At 49.8% G+C, this 17,719-nt stretch overlaps 1 protein-coding gene and 1 long non-coding RNA gene across 3 annotated transcripts in view, besides 8 other annotated features; both read right to left on the bottom strand.

Annotated features, from left to right (window-relative positions):
- MYBL2 (MYB proto-oncogene like 2) overlaps nt 1-4,320 on the bottom strand; it is a 49,369-nt gene extending 45,049 nt beyond the window's left edge. For both annotated transcript variants that reach the window (NM_002466.4, NM_001278610.2), the window contains exon 1: nt 4,131-4,320. In NM_002466.4, coding sequence (NP_002457.1) covers nt 4,131-4,150 — 20 coding nt within the window. In that variant the 5' untranslated portion in view covers nt 4,151-4,320. The remainder of the gene's footprint in view (nt 1-4,130) is intronic.
- Nucleotides 3,415-3,464: an enhancer, noted in NCBI's record as "active region_17906". NCBI's record gives its function as "activates an Ori minimal core promoter by ATAC-STARR-seq in GM12878 lymphoblastoid cells {active_cell/tissue: GM12878}" and the evidence as "EXISTENCE:reporter gene assay evidence [ECO:0000049][PMID:35858748]".
- Nucleotides 4,115-4,494: a silencer, noted in NCBI's record as "silent region_12929". NCBI's record gives its function as "represses an Ori minimal core promoter by ATAC-STARR-seq in GM12878 lymphoblastoid cells {active_cell/tissue: GM12878}" and the evidence as "EXISTENCE:reporter gene assay evidence [ECO:0000049][PMID:35858748]".
- Nucleotides 4,115-4,525: a biological region, named in NCBI's record as "Sharpr-MPRA regulatory region 2194".
- Nucleotides 4,231-4,525: a silencer, noted in NCBI's record as "tiled region #2194; HepG2 Repressive DNase matched - State 4:PromP". NCBI's record gives its function as "represses a minimal TATA promoter and a strong SV40 promoter by Sharpr-MPRA in HepG2 cells {active_cell/tissue: HepG2}" and the evidence as "EXISTENCE:reporter gene assay evidence [ECO:0000049][PMID:27701403]".
- Nucleotides 4,231-4,525: an enhancer, noted in NCBI's record as "tiled region #2194; K562 Activating DNase unmatched - State 1:Tss". NCBI's record gives its function as "activates a minimal TATA promoter and a strong SV40 promoter by Sharpr-MPRA in K562 cells {active_cell/tissue: K562}" and the evidence as "EXISTENCE:reporter gene assay evidence [ECO:0000049][PMID:27701403]".
- Nucleotides 13,670-13,809: an enhancer, noted in NCBI's record as "active region_17905". NCBI's record gives its function as "activates an Ori minimal core promoter by ATAC-STARR-seq in GM12878 lymphoblastoid cells {active_cell/tissue: GM12878}" and the evidence as "EXISTENCE:reporter gene assay evidence [ECO:0000049][PMID:35858748]".
- Nucleotides 14,132-14,727: an enhancer, noted in NCBI's record as "H3K27ac hESC enhancer chr20:42285347-42285942 (GRCh37/hg19 assembly coordinates)". NCBI's record gives its function as "activates a minimal SCP1, AML or CMV promoter by ChIP-STARR-seq in primed H9 embryonic stem cells {active_cell/tissue: H9 hESC(primed)}" and the evidence as "EXISTENCE:reporter gene assay evidence [ECO:0000049][PMID:30033119]".
- Nucleotides 14,630-14,699: a silencer, noted in NCBI's record as "silent region_12928". NCBI's record gives its function as "represses an Ori minimal core promoter by ATAC-STARR-seq in GM12878 lymphoblastoid cells {active_cell/tissue: GM12878}" and the evidence as "EXISTENCE:reporter gene assay evidence [ECO:0000049][PMID:35858748]".
- On the bottom strand, nt 15,008-17,511 carry LOC124904906 (uncharacterized). The gene is made up of 2 exons (XR_007067593.1): nt 17,200-17,511; nt 15,008-15,460 (listed from the first exon to the last, which is right to left on the bottom strand). It is a non-coding gene; the product is annotated as an uncharacterized LOC124904906 (long non-coding RNA).
- Nucleotides 17,512-17,719: the final 208 nt, after the last annotated feature.

The following is a 17,719-nucleotide window of genomic DNA, read 5'->3' as shown; positions in this document are numbered from 1 at the left end:
CTGTAATCCCAGCACTTTGGGAGGCCGAGGTGGGTGGATCACAAGGTCAGGAGTTCGAGACCAGCCTGGTCAACATGGTGAAATGATGTCTCTACTAAAAATACAAAAAAATTAGCTGGGTGTGGTGGCATGCGCCTGTAATCCCAGCTACTCGAGAGGATGAGGCAGAAAAACTGCTTGAACCCAGGAGGCGGAGGTTGCAGTGAGCAGAGATCAGAGATTGTGCCACTGCACTCCAGCCTGGGCGACAGACGAGACTCCATCTCAAAAAAAATAAATAAATAAAAACCCACAAAAATTAGCTGGGCATGGTGGCATGTACCTGTAGTCCTAGCTACTCGGGAAACTGAGGCAGGAGAATTGCTTGAACCCAGGAGGCAGAGGTTGCAGTGAGTCAAGATCGTGCCACTGCACTGCAGCCTGGGCAACAGAGGGAGACTCCGTCTCAAAAAAAAAAAAAAAAAGAAAAAAAAGAAATCATAGGATCCACCTCCAGAGATGTCAGGTGCTTGAGGAAAGTTAGTAATCTTTCCCCAACTCCACCCGACAGGACCTGCATCAGGTCACGTTGGTCAGGTAAGTTGCTAGGTCAGACATTTGTAAACTGGAAAAAGCTTACAGGTTTCCAAACAAGGCAAGTCTTGTTTGGAAATGAAACAAATGAAAGAAGGCTTACTGTGCTATCCACATTACCTTCTCCTTGTTCTCCAAAGCTCACCGTTGCTTCCTAGAGTCACTCCTATACTTCCATAGCACATGGGAAACCCTCCTGTCTCGGGCCCTTACACTGCAACTGCCTGTCTCCTCCACATCATCTACAAAGGTCAGCTCCACCTTGGCATCCCAGGGTTTATCACCAAAAGGGCTTAAGAAATGTTTGCCCAGGGACTGACTGAATATACAAATAAATGAAAAAATGTGCAAAGCTGCTGCCTATTAGTCAATAAGAAATACTAATTAAATTTTTTAGGCCAGGCAAGACCCAATTTCAAAAGAAAAAAATTTTCAGAAATAGGAAAGGAGGGACGGTGTCTACAGTCAGCAATACAGAAGGATCTGGAATTCATTCCTGACCCAGTTCATGGGTCCTCCACCACTTCAATATAGAAGGCAAAAATCCAGAAGATACTAATAACAGAATGAAGTTGGCTTTAAAATCAACTGCCCCCAGACAGCTCGTGACAGAAACCATCTTTGCTTCTCCAGCATCCAGCACAAAGGCCTGGCTTCTAACAGAAGGTCAGCAAATATTCTTTCAAGGATGAAATGATGTCTGCATGGACACTCCCTGGTGCTCCAATGCTGTTTGTTTGTTTGTTTGTTTATTTTGAGATAGAGTCTCGCTTTGTCACCCAGGCTGAAGTGCAGTGGCATGATCTCGACTCACAGCAACCTCTGCCTCCTGGGTTCAAGTGAATTCTCCTGCCTCAGCCTCCCGAATAGCCGCGCTTACAGGCGCCTACCACCACGCCCGGCTAATTTTTGTATTTTTGGTAGAGACGAGGAGTTTCACCATATTGGTCAAGCTGGTCTTGAACTCTTGGCCTCCCAAAGTGCTGGGATTACAGGCATGAGCTACCACACCCAGCCTCCAATGCTGTTTGATAGGGTCAGCATCTCAGACAGCTGGGGCATTTCTGTGAGATGATATACTTTACCATATGTGCTGGCCATCAACTTCACCCACATTCTCATTATCCCCCTTAACAGATGCGGAAATTGAGGCTCAGAGGGGTGAGGCCACCTGCCAAGTTCATAGAGCCAGGCTCTGAACCTTCCTAACTCCAGACACCTGCAAGTCCTCATATCCTAATCCCAGCTGAAAAAGCAGAGTCCAGTTAGTGGTGGCAACCACATTGTGGTCCAACATACCCTACCTTTTGCCCTTCAACGTGCTGGGCTCTGCTCCAGGACAGGGGTGAGTCAGAGACAAAGCGGGAAGTGGGGCACTAGGGCAGAGGAGAGTTACAGCAAGTGGCCAGGAAATGGGCTGAGGGCTGTGGAGCTGCCATCCTTCACACAGGAGGGGTTCCTCCACTGAGCCCCTCATGGGAGAAGTAGCCCAGGACCTGGGGTGGTCTAGAGGCAGTCACTCCTGGAATAACTCTTCCTGAACAAAAAATCAGGATGGCGCCAGGCAAGGTGGCTCACACCTGTAATCCCGACACTTTGGGAGGCCAAGTGGGGGAGAATCCCTGGAAGCCAGGAGTTCGAGACCAGCCTGGGTAACATAGTGAGGTGAGACACAACGCGAGGCCACTCCCGCCCCCTTCCATCTCTACACAAAATAAAACACGCCAGACGCGGTGGCTCACGCCTGTAATCCTAGCACTCTGTGAGGCCAAGGCAGGCGGATTGCCTGAGCAACACAGTGAAACCCATCTCTACTAAAAATCCAAAAAATTAGCCAGGCGTGGCGGCGTGTGCCCATAGTCCCAGGTACTTGGGAGGCTGAGACAGAATTCCTTGAACCCGGGAGGCAGAGGCTGCAGTGAGCCGAGATTGTGCCACTGCACTCCAGCCTGGGCAACACAGAGTGGCTCTGTCTCCTAAATAATTAAATAAATTAGCCAGTTGTGGCGGCCCGTGCCCATAGTCCCAGCTACTCAGCCTGCAGTCCCAGCGGGCTGAGTTGGGAAGATCACTTGAACCTGGGAGGTTGGGGCTACAGTGAGCTATGACAGCACCACAGCACTCCGGCCTGGACTGCAGACGGAGACCCTGCCTCAAAAAAAAAAAAAAAAAAAACCAGGGCAGGGTCTGATAGGCGCCTGAACAGAAAACTCTTCCTGGACATTGGCCTGGGAAAGTGGGGCCTGAGGAACACAGTCCCTGTGCTCAGATCCCTATCCTCAGCCTGAAAGGGCAAAAATCTAGAGGGATGGAAGGCTTCATCTTTAGATGAGGCTATCGTCTAAAGAGGGACCGAAGTTTGGCCGGGCAAGGTGGCTCACGCCTGTAATCCCAGCACTTTGGGAGGCCGAGTCGGGCGGAACACAAGGTCAGGAGATCGAGACCATCCTGGCTAACATGGTGAAACCCTGTCTCTACTAAACATACAAAAAATTAGCCCGACGTGGTGACACGTGCCTGAAGTCCCAGCTACTCGGGAAGCTGAGGCAGGAGAATCGCTTGAACCTGGGAGGCGGAGGTTGCAGTGAGCCAAGATCGCGCCACTGCACTCCAGCCTGGGCATCAGAGCGAGACTCCTTCTCAAAAAAAAAAAAAAAAAAAAAAAAGAGGGAACGAAGGTTATCTGAGCTGCAGCGATCCAGGCAGGGAAGAGGTCAGGACCCCACTGTCCTGTCTCCCAGGCAGGCTGAAAAGCTTGGAGCTCAGGCCCCAGGCGCACAGGTGTAAGACAGGGATCTGGAGCCACAGACCTGGCTCCGGGCTCAGCTCTGCCACTTAAGTCTCTGGGGAAATAAGTAAAATGGAGACCGCAGTTCCTGCCTTTGCCCCAGGGACTCTCTCTCTCCCCCGCACCTTCAACCCCAGCTGCCCAAAACTCCTCGTGGGAACAGGAAGAGAGGTCTCAAACCGAACCAAGCTGGGGCGCGGAACCCAGGTGGGAGAGACAAAAGAGCCCCCAACTCAGCACCCTTCTCAGTCCAGGGGAGAGGGCTTGGGGGACTCTGTGCTCCCCGGAATGTTAAGGAGCAAAGCCCACCCACCAAGTTGACCCAAAACTAGGCTGCAACAAGTGCCTCCCAGGCTCGGTCTCCCACTGGCTGGGACTTGAAGACTCCCTCTCGCTCCCAGGGGTCGCCTCCCTCGCCGGCGAAGGCCCTGCCAGCTGACACCGGCCGGCCCACCCCCATCCCGCAATTAGGCGGGAGACAAAATGACATCATGCACGGCTTGGCCCGGGTCCCAAGAGACCCGCCCGTCCCAGCTCCGAGGCCCAACAGGCCTGGGGAGCCGCGAGGGACGCCCAAGAGCCCCCCAGCTTTACGCGCGCCCCTGCCTCAGAGGGCCCAGGACGCAGCATTTCCGCGGAAACACCCCACCCCCAACACACACACACACCCCAGCTTGGTGGGAGCCTGGGGAGGGTCGGGGGTATCTGGGTGGGGGAGGGGTGAGTTAAAGGGAGGGGGAGGGGCCCAAGCCCTCCCGGCTCGTCTCACCAGCGCGTCCGCCGAGACATCCCCCCGGCCCGGACCGCGCCGCGCTCGCCCGCCCGCCGGCAGAGCCCGGAGCGGGAGCCGGGCCGGGGTCAGGACCCGGGCTGCTCCGGCCGCTCCGGGCCCCGGGCCGCGCTCGAAGGCGTCAGCGTGTCAGCAGGTCCCGCGCTCCTCGCTCGCAGGAACTGCAGTCGCCGCCGGCGCGGGTTGAAGCACTTTTCTATCTCCCGCCAAGCGCGTCGGCGCCGCCCAGTCCTGGCGCGCGGGCGCCGGGGGAGGGGCCTGAGTGAGGGGCGGAGCCAGGGGGCGGGGCGGGGCGGGGCCTGCGGGGCGGCACCTGCCCAGACCCTCCAGGGCCGGCTGCAGGACAGGGGCGGCGGCCGCTACTTCGGAGTTGTGGAGCGGGCCGGGATGTGACCGAGGCCTGGCTCACGTGTCAGTCCGGGGCGGCCCAGGAGTATCCCACATAGCGAAGACCGAGGAAGGGGAGCGAGGCGCGAGCATGGGAGAGCCAGCCAGGGAAAGCGCCAGGGCGGAATCCCCCACGCTAGTCCAAGCCACTACTGGGTCCCTAGAGCCGCACCCTAAAGCGGCTCCTCACCCTACCTGTGCCTCTCCCTGCTTCCTCTCCTGCCTCCAAGAGACCCTCCTTAATAGACTTTATTTTTTGTTGTTCATTTTTCTTAGAGGCAGGGTCTTGCTCTGTCGCCCAGGCTGGAGTGCAGTTTCGCGATCATAGCTCACTGCAACCTCCACCTCCTAGGCTCAAGCGATCCTCCTACCTCAACTCACGGGTAGCTAAGACCAGGCACTCGCCACTACACCCGGCTGATTTTTTTTTTTTTTTTTTTTGAGACGGTGTCTCGCTTTGTCGCCAGGCTGGAGTGCAGTGGCGCGATCTTGACTCACTGCAACCTCCACCTCCCGGGTTCAAGCGACTCCCCCGCCTCAGCCTCCCAAGTAGCTGGAACTACAGGCGCACACCACCACGCCCGGCAATTTTTTTTTTTTTTTTTTTTTTTTTTTAGTATTTTAGTAGAGACGAGGTTTCACCATGTTGGCCAGGATGGTATAGGTCTCCTGACCTCGTGATCCGCCCGCCTCGGCCTCCCAAAGTGCTGGAATTACAGGAGTGAGCCACTGCGCTTTTTTTTTTTTTTTTAAGAGAAGGGGGTGTCTTGCTATGTTGCTGTTGCCTAGACTGGTCTAGAAACTCCTGGGCTCAAGAGATCCTGCCGCTTTGTCCTCCCAAAGTGCTGGGATTGCAGGCGTGAGCTCTTTCCAGAATTTAAAACCATCCTCCTCTCCCTCAGGGTAAATTCCTTACTCCACAATCACATTTATCTGATCTTCCAGACCACCACCCAGCCCTGGCCAAAAGAAACGGCCTCTTTGCCTTTGCCTGAGCCATTACCCAGGGCAGGAACACTTCCTGCCCCTCCCACGTGGCTGATTCCTATTTAATTTGGGGTCCACTGCCCACAATCTGCCTGTAGACTTCTGCATTTCCCCCTTTGAACTGGGAGCATCCTGAGGTCCAGGTGGCCTCTCAATGCACACCAGTATCTCCAGGGCCCAGTAGAAGACCTGACATAAGAAGCCCCAGGCAAAGGTTTGTTGCATTGAATTGTTTACCTTGGGTTTAAACTCCCAGAGATTAGCCCAGATTTAGTGGCTCATGCCAGTAATCCTAGCAGTTTGGGAGGCCGAGGTGGGAGAACTGATTCAGTCCAAAAGTTTGAGACCAGCCTGGGGATCAGAGTGAGACCCTGTCTTTACAAAAAATTAAGAAATTACCTGGCTGTGGTGGTGAATGCCTGTAATCCCAGCTACTTGGGAAGCAGAGGCAGGAGGATTGCTTGAGCCCAGGAGTTCGAGGGGCTCAAGCCCTTGTCATCCCGCCACTGCACTCCAGCCTGGGCGACAGACAGTGAGACTGTCTTTCCTTGAGATTTAGCAAAGGTTTTCTATATTAGATTGACATTTACCAAGTACCAAGGATCAAGTCACACTGGACTTCCTGGGAGCAGTGCTGAGAGGAAGATAAATGAGCTCTGAGACAGGACGCTGAAGAAACCAAATCAAACCCCAGCCTTTTAGCCCCTGTTCAGGCCTCAGAGCCCCCTTCCAGAAGCTGCTGGCCACCTGGGGACAGTCCAGCCACCAGCTGCTGCAAACTTCACTTACCACAGAAGGAAGACTAACTCACATCTTAAGTGCTAGAAGCTTCCACATCACTTAATTCAGGGTTTCTCCCGCCCACTCCCCTTATAAAGTAATTAATGTGGACATGCCCACTTCATTGAAAGCACAGCCTCCACAGCCAAACTTCCTGGGGTTTGAGTCCCAGCTCCACCATTCAGTTGCGGTATCTTAGGCAAATTACTTAACTTTTTTTTTTTTTTTAGACCAAGTCTTGCTTTATTGCCCAGACTGGAGTGCAGTGGTGTGATCTTGGCTCACTGCAACCCCCACTTCCCGGATTCAAATGATTCTCCCACCTCAGCCTCTCGAGTAGCTAGGACTACAGGAATGCGCCAGCATGCCTGGCTATTTTTTGTATTTTTGTAGAGATGGGTTTTCATCATGTTGGCCAGGCTGGTCTTGAACTTCTGACCTCAGGTGATCTACCCGACTCAGACTCCCAAAGTGCTGGGATTACAGGCATGAGCCATCATGCCCAGCCAATTACCTAACTCTTCTGTGCCTCAGTTTTCTCACCTGGAAAAATGGGATTTATCAAAATTTTAGATAGTTTTTAAACTATCAGCCTCCCAAGTAACTGGGGTTACAGGAGCACGCCGCCATGCCCAGCTAATATTTCCAGCCAGCATTCTGTTTATAAATTGTAACTCATTTAATCCTTGTAACAACTCTATGAGGTAGATACTGGGATTATCCTCTTTTAGCAGATGGGAAAACTGAGGCACAGACTTCCCCAAGGTCACAGTGCTAGTAAATGGCAGAGCAGGGATTCAAACCTGGCCTGTCTAGTTCTAGAGTCTATGCTCTTAATCACTATACTTTGTAGGTAATTATAGGATTAAATAAATTAATATGTGTAAAGCACCAAAAACAGTTCCTGGCACATAATGAGAGCTATATTGGCCGGGCACAGTGGCTCATGCCTGTAATCCCAGCAGTTTGGGAAGCTGAGGCGAGTGAGTCACCTAAGGTCAGGAGTTTGAGACCAGCTTGGCCAACATGGTGAAACCCCATCTCTACTAAAAATATAAAATATTAGCCGGGCGTGGCGGCATGCACCTGTAACTCCAGCTACTCAGGAGGCTGAGGCAGGAGAATCACTTGAACCTGGAGGCGGAGGTTGCAGTGAGCTGAGATCGTGCCACTGCACTCCAGCCTTGGCAACAGAGCAAGACTCCGTCTCAATAACCCCAGCCTCCCGAGTAGCTGGGGTTACAGAAGCACTCCGCCACGCCTGGCTAATTTTTTGTATTTTAATAGAGATCGGGGTTTCACCATGTTCCCCAGGCTGGTCTCAAACTCCTGATCTCAGGCAATCCACCCACCTCGGCCTCCCAAAGTGCTAGGATTACAGGCGTGAGCCACCGCGCCCAGCAAAAAAAGAACTATATTACTGTTAGCTATTATTACTACTGTAATTCTTCAGCTGCCCTCACTCTTATCCTTTGAGGTCCACACATTAGTCATCCCATTTCAGGGAGAGGCAGGACCTGACAGCTTGGGCAAGGTATCTGCCCAAAGCAAGAGGCAGGGAACAGCTGCAGAGTGCACTTGCAACCTGGAACTGGGGCCAGTTAACCAATGCCCCAGAGCCAAAGAAGCCTGGAGTCAGTGCTGTGAGTCAGGCAGCAGGGAGATCACCCTAGTGCCAGATGGAATCTGATGATCTCCACACATTTCCTCTCCAGTTATCATCATACCAACAGATATCCCCTGGAGAGAGGATTCCCAGTGTCCCGAGTGAAACCACACCTGGGAGTGGTCCCTGGACTCTGGACTAGTAACATACAGAATTTATCTCTGCTGGGAAACTTTTCCTGAACACGCCCTCCTTGGACAGGGAGGCTCCAGGTATTTGGTTATTCCACAATTTGCCCCAACCCCCAGGCCTGACCCTGTGTTGGGAAGATAAGGGTCAAATCAATTTATTAAATGCTCAGGGCTCAGCACCAGCTTGGACACCAAACACTAATTGATGATAAGTAGAATCACATGGCCCTTCTGGCTGGAGTCTTCCCCCTCCACCTCCAGAGCATCCTCCTTATCATTCTTGTCCTCATCACACTTCCTCCACCATTTTATTTCTCTCTCAAGAGAAAGGACAGCCTGTGCACATTTTAAGCTTCAGACCTTTACTATAGCTTGGCTTCTGGTAGGTACTCATGGAAGGGGTTCTACACATTCCATTTAAATTGAGTGGATGCAATGTTACAAAGCTAACATTTGGGCTGGAGAGTTAGAAAGGCTTGGACCTCAAGTGAGAAAGCTGGGAATGCTAGAGTTTGAATTGTATCTCATAAAATATGGGTCATCAAAAGAGATTCAGGCTGGGCACAGTGGTCATGCCCGTAATCCCAGCACTTTAGAAGGCCAAGGCAGGCAAATTACTTTGAGGTCAGGACTTTGAGACCAGCCTGGCCAACATGGTGAAACCCCATATCTACTAAAAATACAAAAATTACCTGGGCATGGTGGCACAAACCTGCAGTCTCAGCTACTCAGGAGGATGAGGCATGAGAATCACTTGAACCCAGGAGGAGGAGGTTGCCGTGAGCCCAAACTGTGCCACTGCACTCCAGCCTGGGTGACAGAGCAAGACTCTGTCTCAAAAAGAGATTTGGGACCAGGTGCAGTGACTCATACCTGTAATAATCCCAGCACTTTGGGAGGGCAAGGTGGAAGGATTGTGTAAAGCCAGGAGTTCGAGACCAGCCTGGGCAACATAGTGAGACCCCCCGCCCCCGTCTGTACAAAAAAATTTGTTAAATCAAAACCTAAATACCAAGTCTCCTTAAACTATTACATACACCTGTTGGCTGGGTTCAGTGGCTCACATGTAATCCTGTAATCCCAACACTTTGGGAGGCCAAGGTGAAAGGATAGTTTGAGGCTAGGAGTTCAGGACCAGCCTGGATAACACAGCTAGATCTCGTTTCTACTAAAAATGAGAGAGAGAGATTTTGAAACAAAGGGATGTTTTTCAGACTCTTCTGTCCCACTCCAGGGCATCAGTGTAGAGAACAGAGACATGGTAGCAAACAAGTGGCCATATAGACATAAGAGGCCAAGGACTCAGCCTGGAAAGGGACACTTTCTACAACAATGTGGATCTCAATGGAAGGAGGAAGGAAAGCAATTCAATTACTTGATTCAAGGAATCAAACTAATTCAATACCTGCTTTTTTTTTTTTTTTGACACAGTTTTGCTCTTTTTTGCCCAGCTGGAGTGCAATGGCGCCATGATCTTGGCTCACTGCAACCTCTGCCTCCCGGGTTCAAGCAATTCTCCTGCCTCAGCCTGCCAAGTAGCTGGGATTACAGGCATGTACCACCACACCCGGCTAATTTTGTATTTTTAGTAGAAACATGGGGTTTCACCATGTTGGTCAGGCTTGTCTTGAACTCCTGACCTCAGGTGATCCACCTGCTTTGGCCTCCCAAAGTGCTGGGATTACAGGCGTGAGCCACCGTGCCAGGCCCCCAAAGTCAGCTTTTACTACTCAAAAGATTGAGATTACATTAATAACCATTTTCAAAACACCTATCTTTGAGTTTCAGAAATGGACTATCAAAGTATTCAGATCAGAAAATAACAACAGCTTGGCTGGGCAAGGTGGCTCACGCATGTAATCCCAGCAATTTGGAAGGCCAAGGTGGGCAGATTACTTGAGGCTAGGAGTTCGAGACCAGCTTGGCCAACATGGTGAAACCCCATTTCTACTGAAAATACAAAAATTAGCCAGGTGTGGTGCCACTCACCTGTAGTCTCAGCTACTCGGAAGGCTGAGGCACAAGAATTGCTTGAACCTGGGAGGCAGGGGTTGCAGTGAGCCCAGATCTTGCCACTGCACTCTGAGCTGGGTGATAGAGTGAGACCCTGTCTAGGAAAAAAAAAAAAAAGATAAGAATAACAGGATGATTTTTTTAGGGAAGACACTATGTGCCTGGCACCATATTGAGTTTTACATTCATTTTGGCTTTTTTTTTTTTTTAGAGATGGGGTCTCACTCTGGTTTGAGGCTGCAGTGAGTTATGATGGCACCACTGCACTCCAATCTGGGGAGCTGCAGTGCAATGGTGCCATCATAGCTCACTGCAGCCTCGAACTCCTGAGCTCAAACAAGCTCAAACTCCTGGGTTCAATCCTCCCATTTCAGCTTCCCAACTTGCTGGAGTTACAGGCATGAGCCACTGCGCTGGCTTATTTTGCATTTAATGCTTATTACTCTGTGCGGCAGGTAACATTTTAACAACAAACAAATTAAGACACAGAGATATTAAGTAAATGGCACTGATCACATAGCTAAGGGCTGGTAGCTTGAAGCAAAACATCCACAACTTGATATGAGATTGGAGAGTACCATTTGTGATGTATACTCAAAGTCTGAGTCTGGGCTACAACTAGAGGTTAGTCATAACGAGAAAATCCAACCATCCATATTCTCAGGAAGCTCACCAACTGGTACAGAAGATAATGAGTGGAAAATTAGCTCTGTACAGGTGAAGATCAATTGCCAGGACTGTGAGTGCCCACCCAACAGGATCACTGAAGGCTCTTTAGAGCTGGATGATTTAGGAATTTGCAATGCAGGGAATGGCACAGGAAATAGCCAGCACATGGCAAGGAGGAGGGGGATTAGGAAGTACTCAGGGATCGGCAAGGGTTCAAAATCATTGACTCTTCTCTCACATCACGTATCTGATCCATCTGCAAATCCTATATCCAGTGGCAAAAGCACATGAAAAGATGCTCAATACCATGTAATTAGGGGAATGTAAATTAAAACCACAATGAGATTTACATGCCTATTAGAATGGCTAAAATTAAAAAGACTAATTATACCAAATGTTGATGAAGATGGGGAGCAATTAGAATTCTCAAATACTGCTGGTGGGAATGTAAAATTGTACAACCACTTTGAAAACTGTTTTTGTTTGTTTGTTTGTTTTTTTGAGATAGAGCCTCGCTGTGTATCCCACGCTGGAGTGCAGTGGTGAGATCTTGGCTCACGGCAACCTCCGCCTCCCAGGTTCAAGTAATTCTTCTGCCTGGGCCTCCCGAGTAGCTGGGACTACAGGCACCCACCACCACACCTGACTAATTTCTGTATTTTTAGTAGAGACGGGGTTTCACCATGTTGACCGGGGTGACTCAGACTGGCTGGTCTCAAACTCCTGACCTCGTGATCCACCTGCCTTGGCCTCCCAAAGGCTGGGATTACAGGCTTGAGCCACCATGCCTAGCCTGAAAACTGTTTCTTAAAAATTTAAATAGGGCCAGGCACAGTGGCTCACGCTTGTAATCCCAGCACTTTGGGAGGCTTAGGCGGGTGGATCACGAGGTCAGGAGATCGAGACCATCTTGGCTAACATGGTGAAACCCAGTCTCTACTAAAAAATACAAAAAATTAGCCGGGTGTGGTGGCAGGCGCCTGTAGTCCCAGCTACTCGGGAGGCTGAGGCAGAATGGCGTGAACCCGGGAGGCGGAGCTTGCAGTGAGCCGAGATCGCGCAACTGCCCTCCAGCCTGGGCGACAGAGCAAGACTCCATCTCAAAAAAAAAAAAAAAAAAAAAAAAAAGGGCTGGACATGGTGGTGCGCACCTGTAATCCCAGCTATTCGAGAGACTGAGGCAAGAGAATCACTTGAACCTGGGAGGTGGAGGTTGTACTGAGCCAAGATCACGCCACTGCACCCCAGCCTGGATAACAAAGCGAAACTCTGTCTCAAAAAAAGAAGAAAAAAAAACCTTAAATATACACCTATCATATCATCTAGTCACTCCAAGAAAAATGAATACATATCTCCACACAAAGCTTTTAGATAGCTTTGTTTGTTACAACCCCAAACTGGAAACAACCTAAATGTCAACAGGTGACTGAATAAACAAATTATAGATAAAAAACAAATATATCCATACAGTGGAATACTACTCAGCAAATGGAATAAATTATTGATAAAATATAAATAAGTTACAAACTGTGCCAAAAGAAGCAAAAGAGAGCATACTGTATGATTTTTTTCTTAATTTTTAAATTTTTTAGAGACAAGGTCTGGCTCTATAGTCCAGGCTGGAGTGCAGTGGAGCGATCTTGGCTCACTGCAGCCTCCATCTCCCAGGCTCAAGCCATCATCCCACCTCAGCCTCCTGAGTAGCTGGAACTACAGGTACACACCACCATGCCAGGCTAATTTCTTTTTTTTTTTTGAGATGGAGTTTCACTCTGTCGCCCCTGCTGGACTGCAGTGGCATGTTCTCGGCTCACTGCAACCTCCACCTCCTGGGTTCAAGTGATTGCCCTGCCTCAGCCTCCCAGGTGGCTGGGATTATAGGCACAAGCCACTGCACCCGGGTAATTTTTGTATTTTTAGTAGAGATAGGGTTTCGCCATGTCAGGCTGGTCTCAAACTCCTGACCTCAAGTGATCTACCCACCTAGGCCTACCAAGGTGGTGGGATTACAAGCGTGAGCCACCATGCCCGGCCTATAAGACTATTTATATAAAACTCTAGGCCAGGCACGGTGGCTGACGCCTGTAATCCCAGCTACCTGGGAGGCTGAGGCAGGACAATCACTTGAACCTGGGAGGCAGGGGTTGCAGTGAGCCGAGATCACGCCATTGCACTCCAGCCTGGATGACAGAGTGAGACTCTGCCTCAAAAAAAAAAAAAAACTCTAGAAGTTACACACAAATCTAAAGTGACAGAAACCAATCTAAAGTGACAATGGTTGTGGAGAGGAAGGGATTACAAGGAGACACAAGCACGTTTTGGCGCATGATGGATATGTTCCATTTGCATGACTCCAGGGGCCCCTTCTGAGTCACTGGAAGAAGTGTGGGGCCACTGACTAAAGGACAGGGCCATTAACCCTGCCTGTGTTTTTCCAGGCTCATGCCAGCCCTAGCGGTTTCTTTAGGTATGCAATTGCAAAGGGGGATAATTTAGATCTCTAAGACACCATCTAATCCAAATCCCTTGCATTCCTGAAGAGACTCGGTGCCAGGACCCTGGGCTACATTATACATACCCCATGGCGAGGCCCCCACCCCTGACCTCTACTCTGCACCCTCTGGAGCATCAGCTTTCGCCAACACTTAGTTCTTCTGTCACTTGCAGTTCAGTTCTTCTGTCACTTGGAGTTCAGCAATCAAACAGGGAAGGACTTGCGGGGTAGGGAGTTTGGGTTCAAAGTCAGGGAGAAACCGCGGGTGAACGCTAAGGCCTGCCCAGAGGCGGGTGGACCCAACCGCAAGCTCCTCCAGCCTTACGGCAGCTCCTGGCAACATCCTCACCCTCCTCCGTGAAAACCGGAGGGGAATGTCAGGCCTTGGAGTCAACCCGAGAGTCTCGCCGCCCGCAGGTGACCCGGGGCAAGTGACGTGCCCTGTTTCGAGGGGCCTCCCATGTAAACCGAGGCCAAAGGCTCCAGGATGCTCCATGGCAGCGCCCGCGCCACGGGCCGCCAGACTGCACCGTCAGGAGGGCGCAGGGGAACTCCGAGATCCCAGTCTGAGCCCGCGCCTGGGATCAGGCGGCCCGCGGGGCATCGCGGGAGTCGCGTCCCTGACGTCACCGTGGGGCGCCTGTGCGCAGGTACACCTGGAGCCGGGCTGCGACGGCTCTGGGGCTCTAACCAGCCCCGCGCCCCAGAGGCTTCTTCTCGGTGGCGTGGTCTCGTTCGTGTGGAGGACGGGTGAAAGAAAGTCGCAGGGATGAGAGGGAGCAAGGGAGGGACGTCGCAGACCTCGGACATTGTGTCGCCCCCGACCCCTGAACGGTCCATGACTTCCCAGTGTGGGTCAGAGGCTCTGGACCAGCCCCTCACACTGCATGCCCGGTGTTCCGTTTGCAACTATTATTAGGTTAATTTCTCTCAGCAATTAGGCTGTGAGCTGCGGAAGGGCAGCCCTGTAAGGTTGCCGAAGGGGTTTCACCTTGCCCTCTGCCTGGACACAGCCGATTTATCAAGACGGCAATTGCAATAGAGAAAGGGTAATTCACGCGCGGAGCGGGCTGTGCGGGAGACCAGAGTTGTATTATTACTCAAATCAGTCTCCCAGAAAACTCGGGGATCAGAGGGGTTTGTTTTTGTTTTTGTTTTTGAGACGGAGTCTCGCTCTGTTGCCCAGGCTGGAGTGCAGTGGCGCGATCTCCAGTTATTTTTACACTGTTACCTGCTAGGACTGGTATATATGTTTTCTTCTTTTGGTTTTGTTTTTGGTTGTCGTTGCTTTTTTATTTTTAAGAGTGAAGTTGGAACACTTGTTTGAATTTAAAAACACCCCTGCGCCGGGCGTGTGGCTCACGCCTGTAATCCCAGCACTTTGGGAGGCCGAGGCGGGCGGATCTCGAGGTCAGGAGATCGAGGCCATCCTGGCTCACACGATGAAACCCCGTCTCTACTAAAAATACAAAAAATTAGCCAGGCGTGGTAGCGGGCGCCTGTAGTCCCAGCTACTCGGGAGGCTGAGGCAGGAGAATGGCGTGAACCTGGGAGGCGGAGGTTACAGTGAGCCGAGATTGTGCCACTGCACTCCAGCCTGGGCGACAGAGCAAGACTCCGTCTCAAAAAAACAAAAAACAAAACAAAACAAAACACCCCTGCTCACCACTTTAGCTAGTTAAGCTTAATTTTACTAATAAAAACTAATCTGACATCACCACCTATGAAATATTCTTGCCAAAAATGTTTAATTCACAGTCAAGCCTTCAGACCTAACTTCAGTTTACAGGAAATAAGATAAAGGAACAAATTAATAGACACTATGATGAAGCAATGAGATAAATCCAGAATGTGAGATAATCTGCAAGACCCCTAATTTGATCTTTTCAAAAAATCAGTGTCTGGTCAGGAGGAGTGGCTCATGCCTGTAAACCAAATACTTCGGGAGGGCAAGGTGGGAGGATCACTTGAGTCCAGGAGTTCCAGACCAGCCTGGGCAACACAGTGAGACCCTGTCTTTACAAAAAATTAAAGAATTTGCTGGACATGGTGGTGCACGCCTGTAGTCCCAGCTACTGTGGAGGCTGAGGTGGGAGGATCAATTGAGTCCAGAAAGTTGAGGCTGCAGTGAGCTATGATTGTGCCACTGTATTCCATCCGGGGTAACACAGCAAGACCCTGTCTGAAAAAAAAAAAAAAAGATCATTTGTAAAAAAAAGAGGGAGACTGTTCTGGATTTAAAGAGACAGTCAAATACAATGTGTGAAGACTGACTAAATCCTGGCTTGAAAAAAAAATCTATAAAACATTCTGGGGGCAATTAGGGGACAGTCTGAATATGTATTAAACATTAAGTAATAGAAATGATAATGGCATTATACAATGAAGTATTTAGGGGTAAAATACTATTCTGTCTGCAATTTCATTTCAAATGTTTGGTAAAAAAGATTATACAGGGCCGGGTGACGTGGCTCACGCCTATAATCCCAGCACTTTGGGAGGCTGAGGCGGGCGGATCATGAGGTCAGGAGTTTGAGACCAGCCTGGCCAACATAGTAAAACCCTGTCTCTACTAAAAATACAAAAAATTAGCCCGGCATGGTAGTGCATGCCTGTAATCCCAGCTACTCGGGAGGCTCAAGGATAATTACTTGAACCCAGGAGGCGAAGGTTGCAGTGATTGTGCCACTGCACTCCATCCAGCCTGGGCAATAGAGCAAGACTCTGTCTAAAAAAAAAAATTGATTATACAGGCCAGGGTCAGTGGCTCATGGCTGTAGTCCCAGTTACTCAGGAGGAGAATCGCTTGAACCTGAGAGGCAGAGGTTGCAGCAAGCCAAGGTTATGCCACTGCACTCCAGCCTGGGTGACAGGGCAAGACTCCATCTCAAAAAAAAAAAAAAAAAAAAGATTATGCATATATTGGGATTTTTTTTTTTTTTCGAGACAGAGTCTTGCTCTGTCGCCCAGGCTGGAGTACAATGGCACAACCTCAGCTCACCACAACCTCCGCCTGCCAGGTTCAAACAATTCTCCTGCCTCAGCCTCCCAGGTAGCTGGGACTACAGGCGCCCGCCACCACACCCGGCTAATTTTTGTATTTTTAGTAGAGACAGGGTTTTGCCATGTTGGCCAGGCTGGTCTTGAACTCCTGACCTCAAGTGATCTGCCCGCCTTGGCCTCCCAAAGTGCTGGGATTACAGGCGTGAGCCACTGCGCCTGGCCTATACATTGGGATTTTAAGGTCTACATGTAAAAAAAATAAAAATAAAAATGATTATACATACGGAAAGCATATATGGCAATATATTAACAATTTTTTAAAGTCTGATGGGCACACTGGTGTTTAATATAGTATTCTTCACACTTTTCTGTTTCAAAGTGGGTTTTTTATTTTTTTTGAGACGGAGTTTTGCTCTGTTGCCCAGGCTGGAGTACAGTGATGCAATCTTGGCTCACTGCAACCTCTGTCTCTCGGGTTCAAGGGATTCTCCTGCCTCAGCCTCTTGAGTAGCTGGGATTACAGGCGCACACCACCACACCCGGATAATTTTTGCATTTTTAGTAGAGACGGGGTTTCGTCATGTTGGCCAGGCTGGTCTTGAACTCCTGGCCTCAAGTGATCTGCCCACCTTGGCCTCCCAAAGTGGTGGGATTACAGGCATGAGCAACCACGCCCGGCCCTCAAAGTTTTGTTTTTTCTTTTTTTAATGTAAACAGTTTTATTTAGAAACAGGTACCTGTTTGCATTGTAGAATATAAAACTTGGCTTATGCTCTATAAACAATAACCATTACCCCAATTCAAGAGAGCTAAGCATTCACAGAACACACAATTAGTTTCAAAGTTTTCACATAAATGGGAGAAAAAATATATCCTTGCCACAAGCCATCCATGGATGAAGGCGAAAAGCCTACTGACCCTGTGGCAGAACAGGCCTTGCTTCCTCCAAGGCACCTTCTTGGTCAGGAGAGCGTGGTGGGAGAAACTCCTGGTTAGTAGGCAGATTGCCAGTCTCTTCCGCAACTAGGCCTCAGTTATCCCTTTGAAAAGTGAAAGTGGAAGTTGGATTAGATTCAGATAGAACCAAAAAGTTCCTTGTAAGATTACAGGTGTTTATTCTAGTTACCTATTGCTGTATAACAAATTACTCCAAATCAGTGGCTTAAAACTGCCATTTTAAGGCCAGGTGTAGTGACTCATGCCTGTAATCCCAGCATTTTGGGAGGCCAAAGTGGGAGGATCGCTTTAGGCTAGGAGTTTAAGACCAGCCTGGGCAATATTTATTTCTATAGATATTTATTTGTTTTGGGGTAAAGTGCTATGATGTCTGCAATTTCATCTCAAATAAAAATAAATAGAGATGGGGTCTTGCTATGTTGCCCAGGCTGGTCTCAAACTTTTGGGCTCAAGCAATCCTCCCGCCTTGGCCTCCCAAAGT

The sequence above is a fragment of the Homo sapiens genome, chromosome 20 (genome assembly GCF_000001405.40).
Source record: "Homo sapiens chromosome 20, GRCh38.p14 Primary Assembly".
Taxonomy (NCBI): Eukaryota; Metazoa; Chordata; class Mammalia; order Primates; family Hominidae; genus Homo; species Homo sapiens.
Note: the sequence above shows the minus strand (reverse complement) of the source record. Positions and strands in the feature narration are given on the sequence as shown.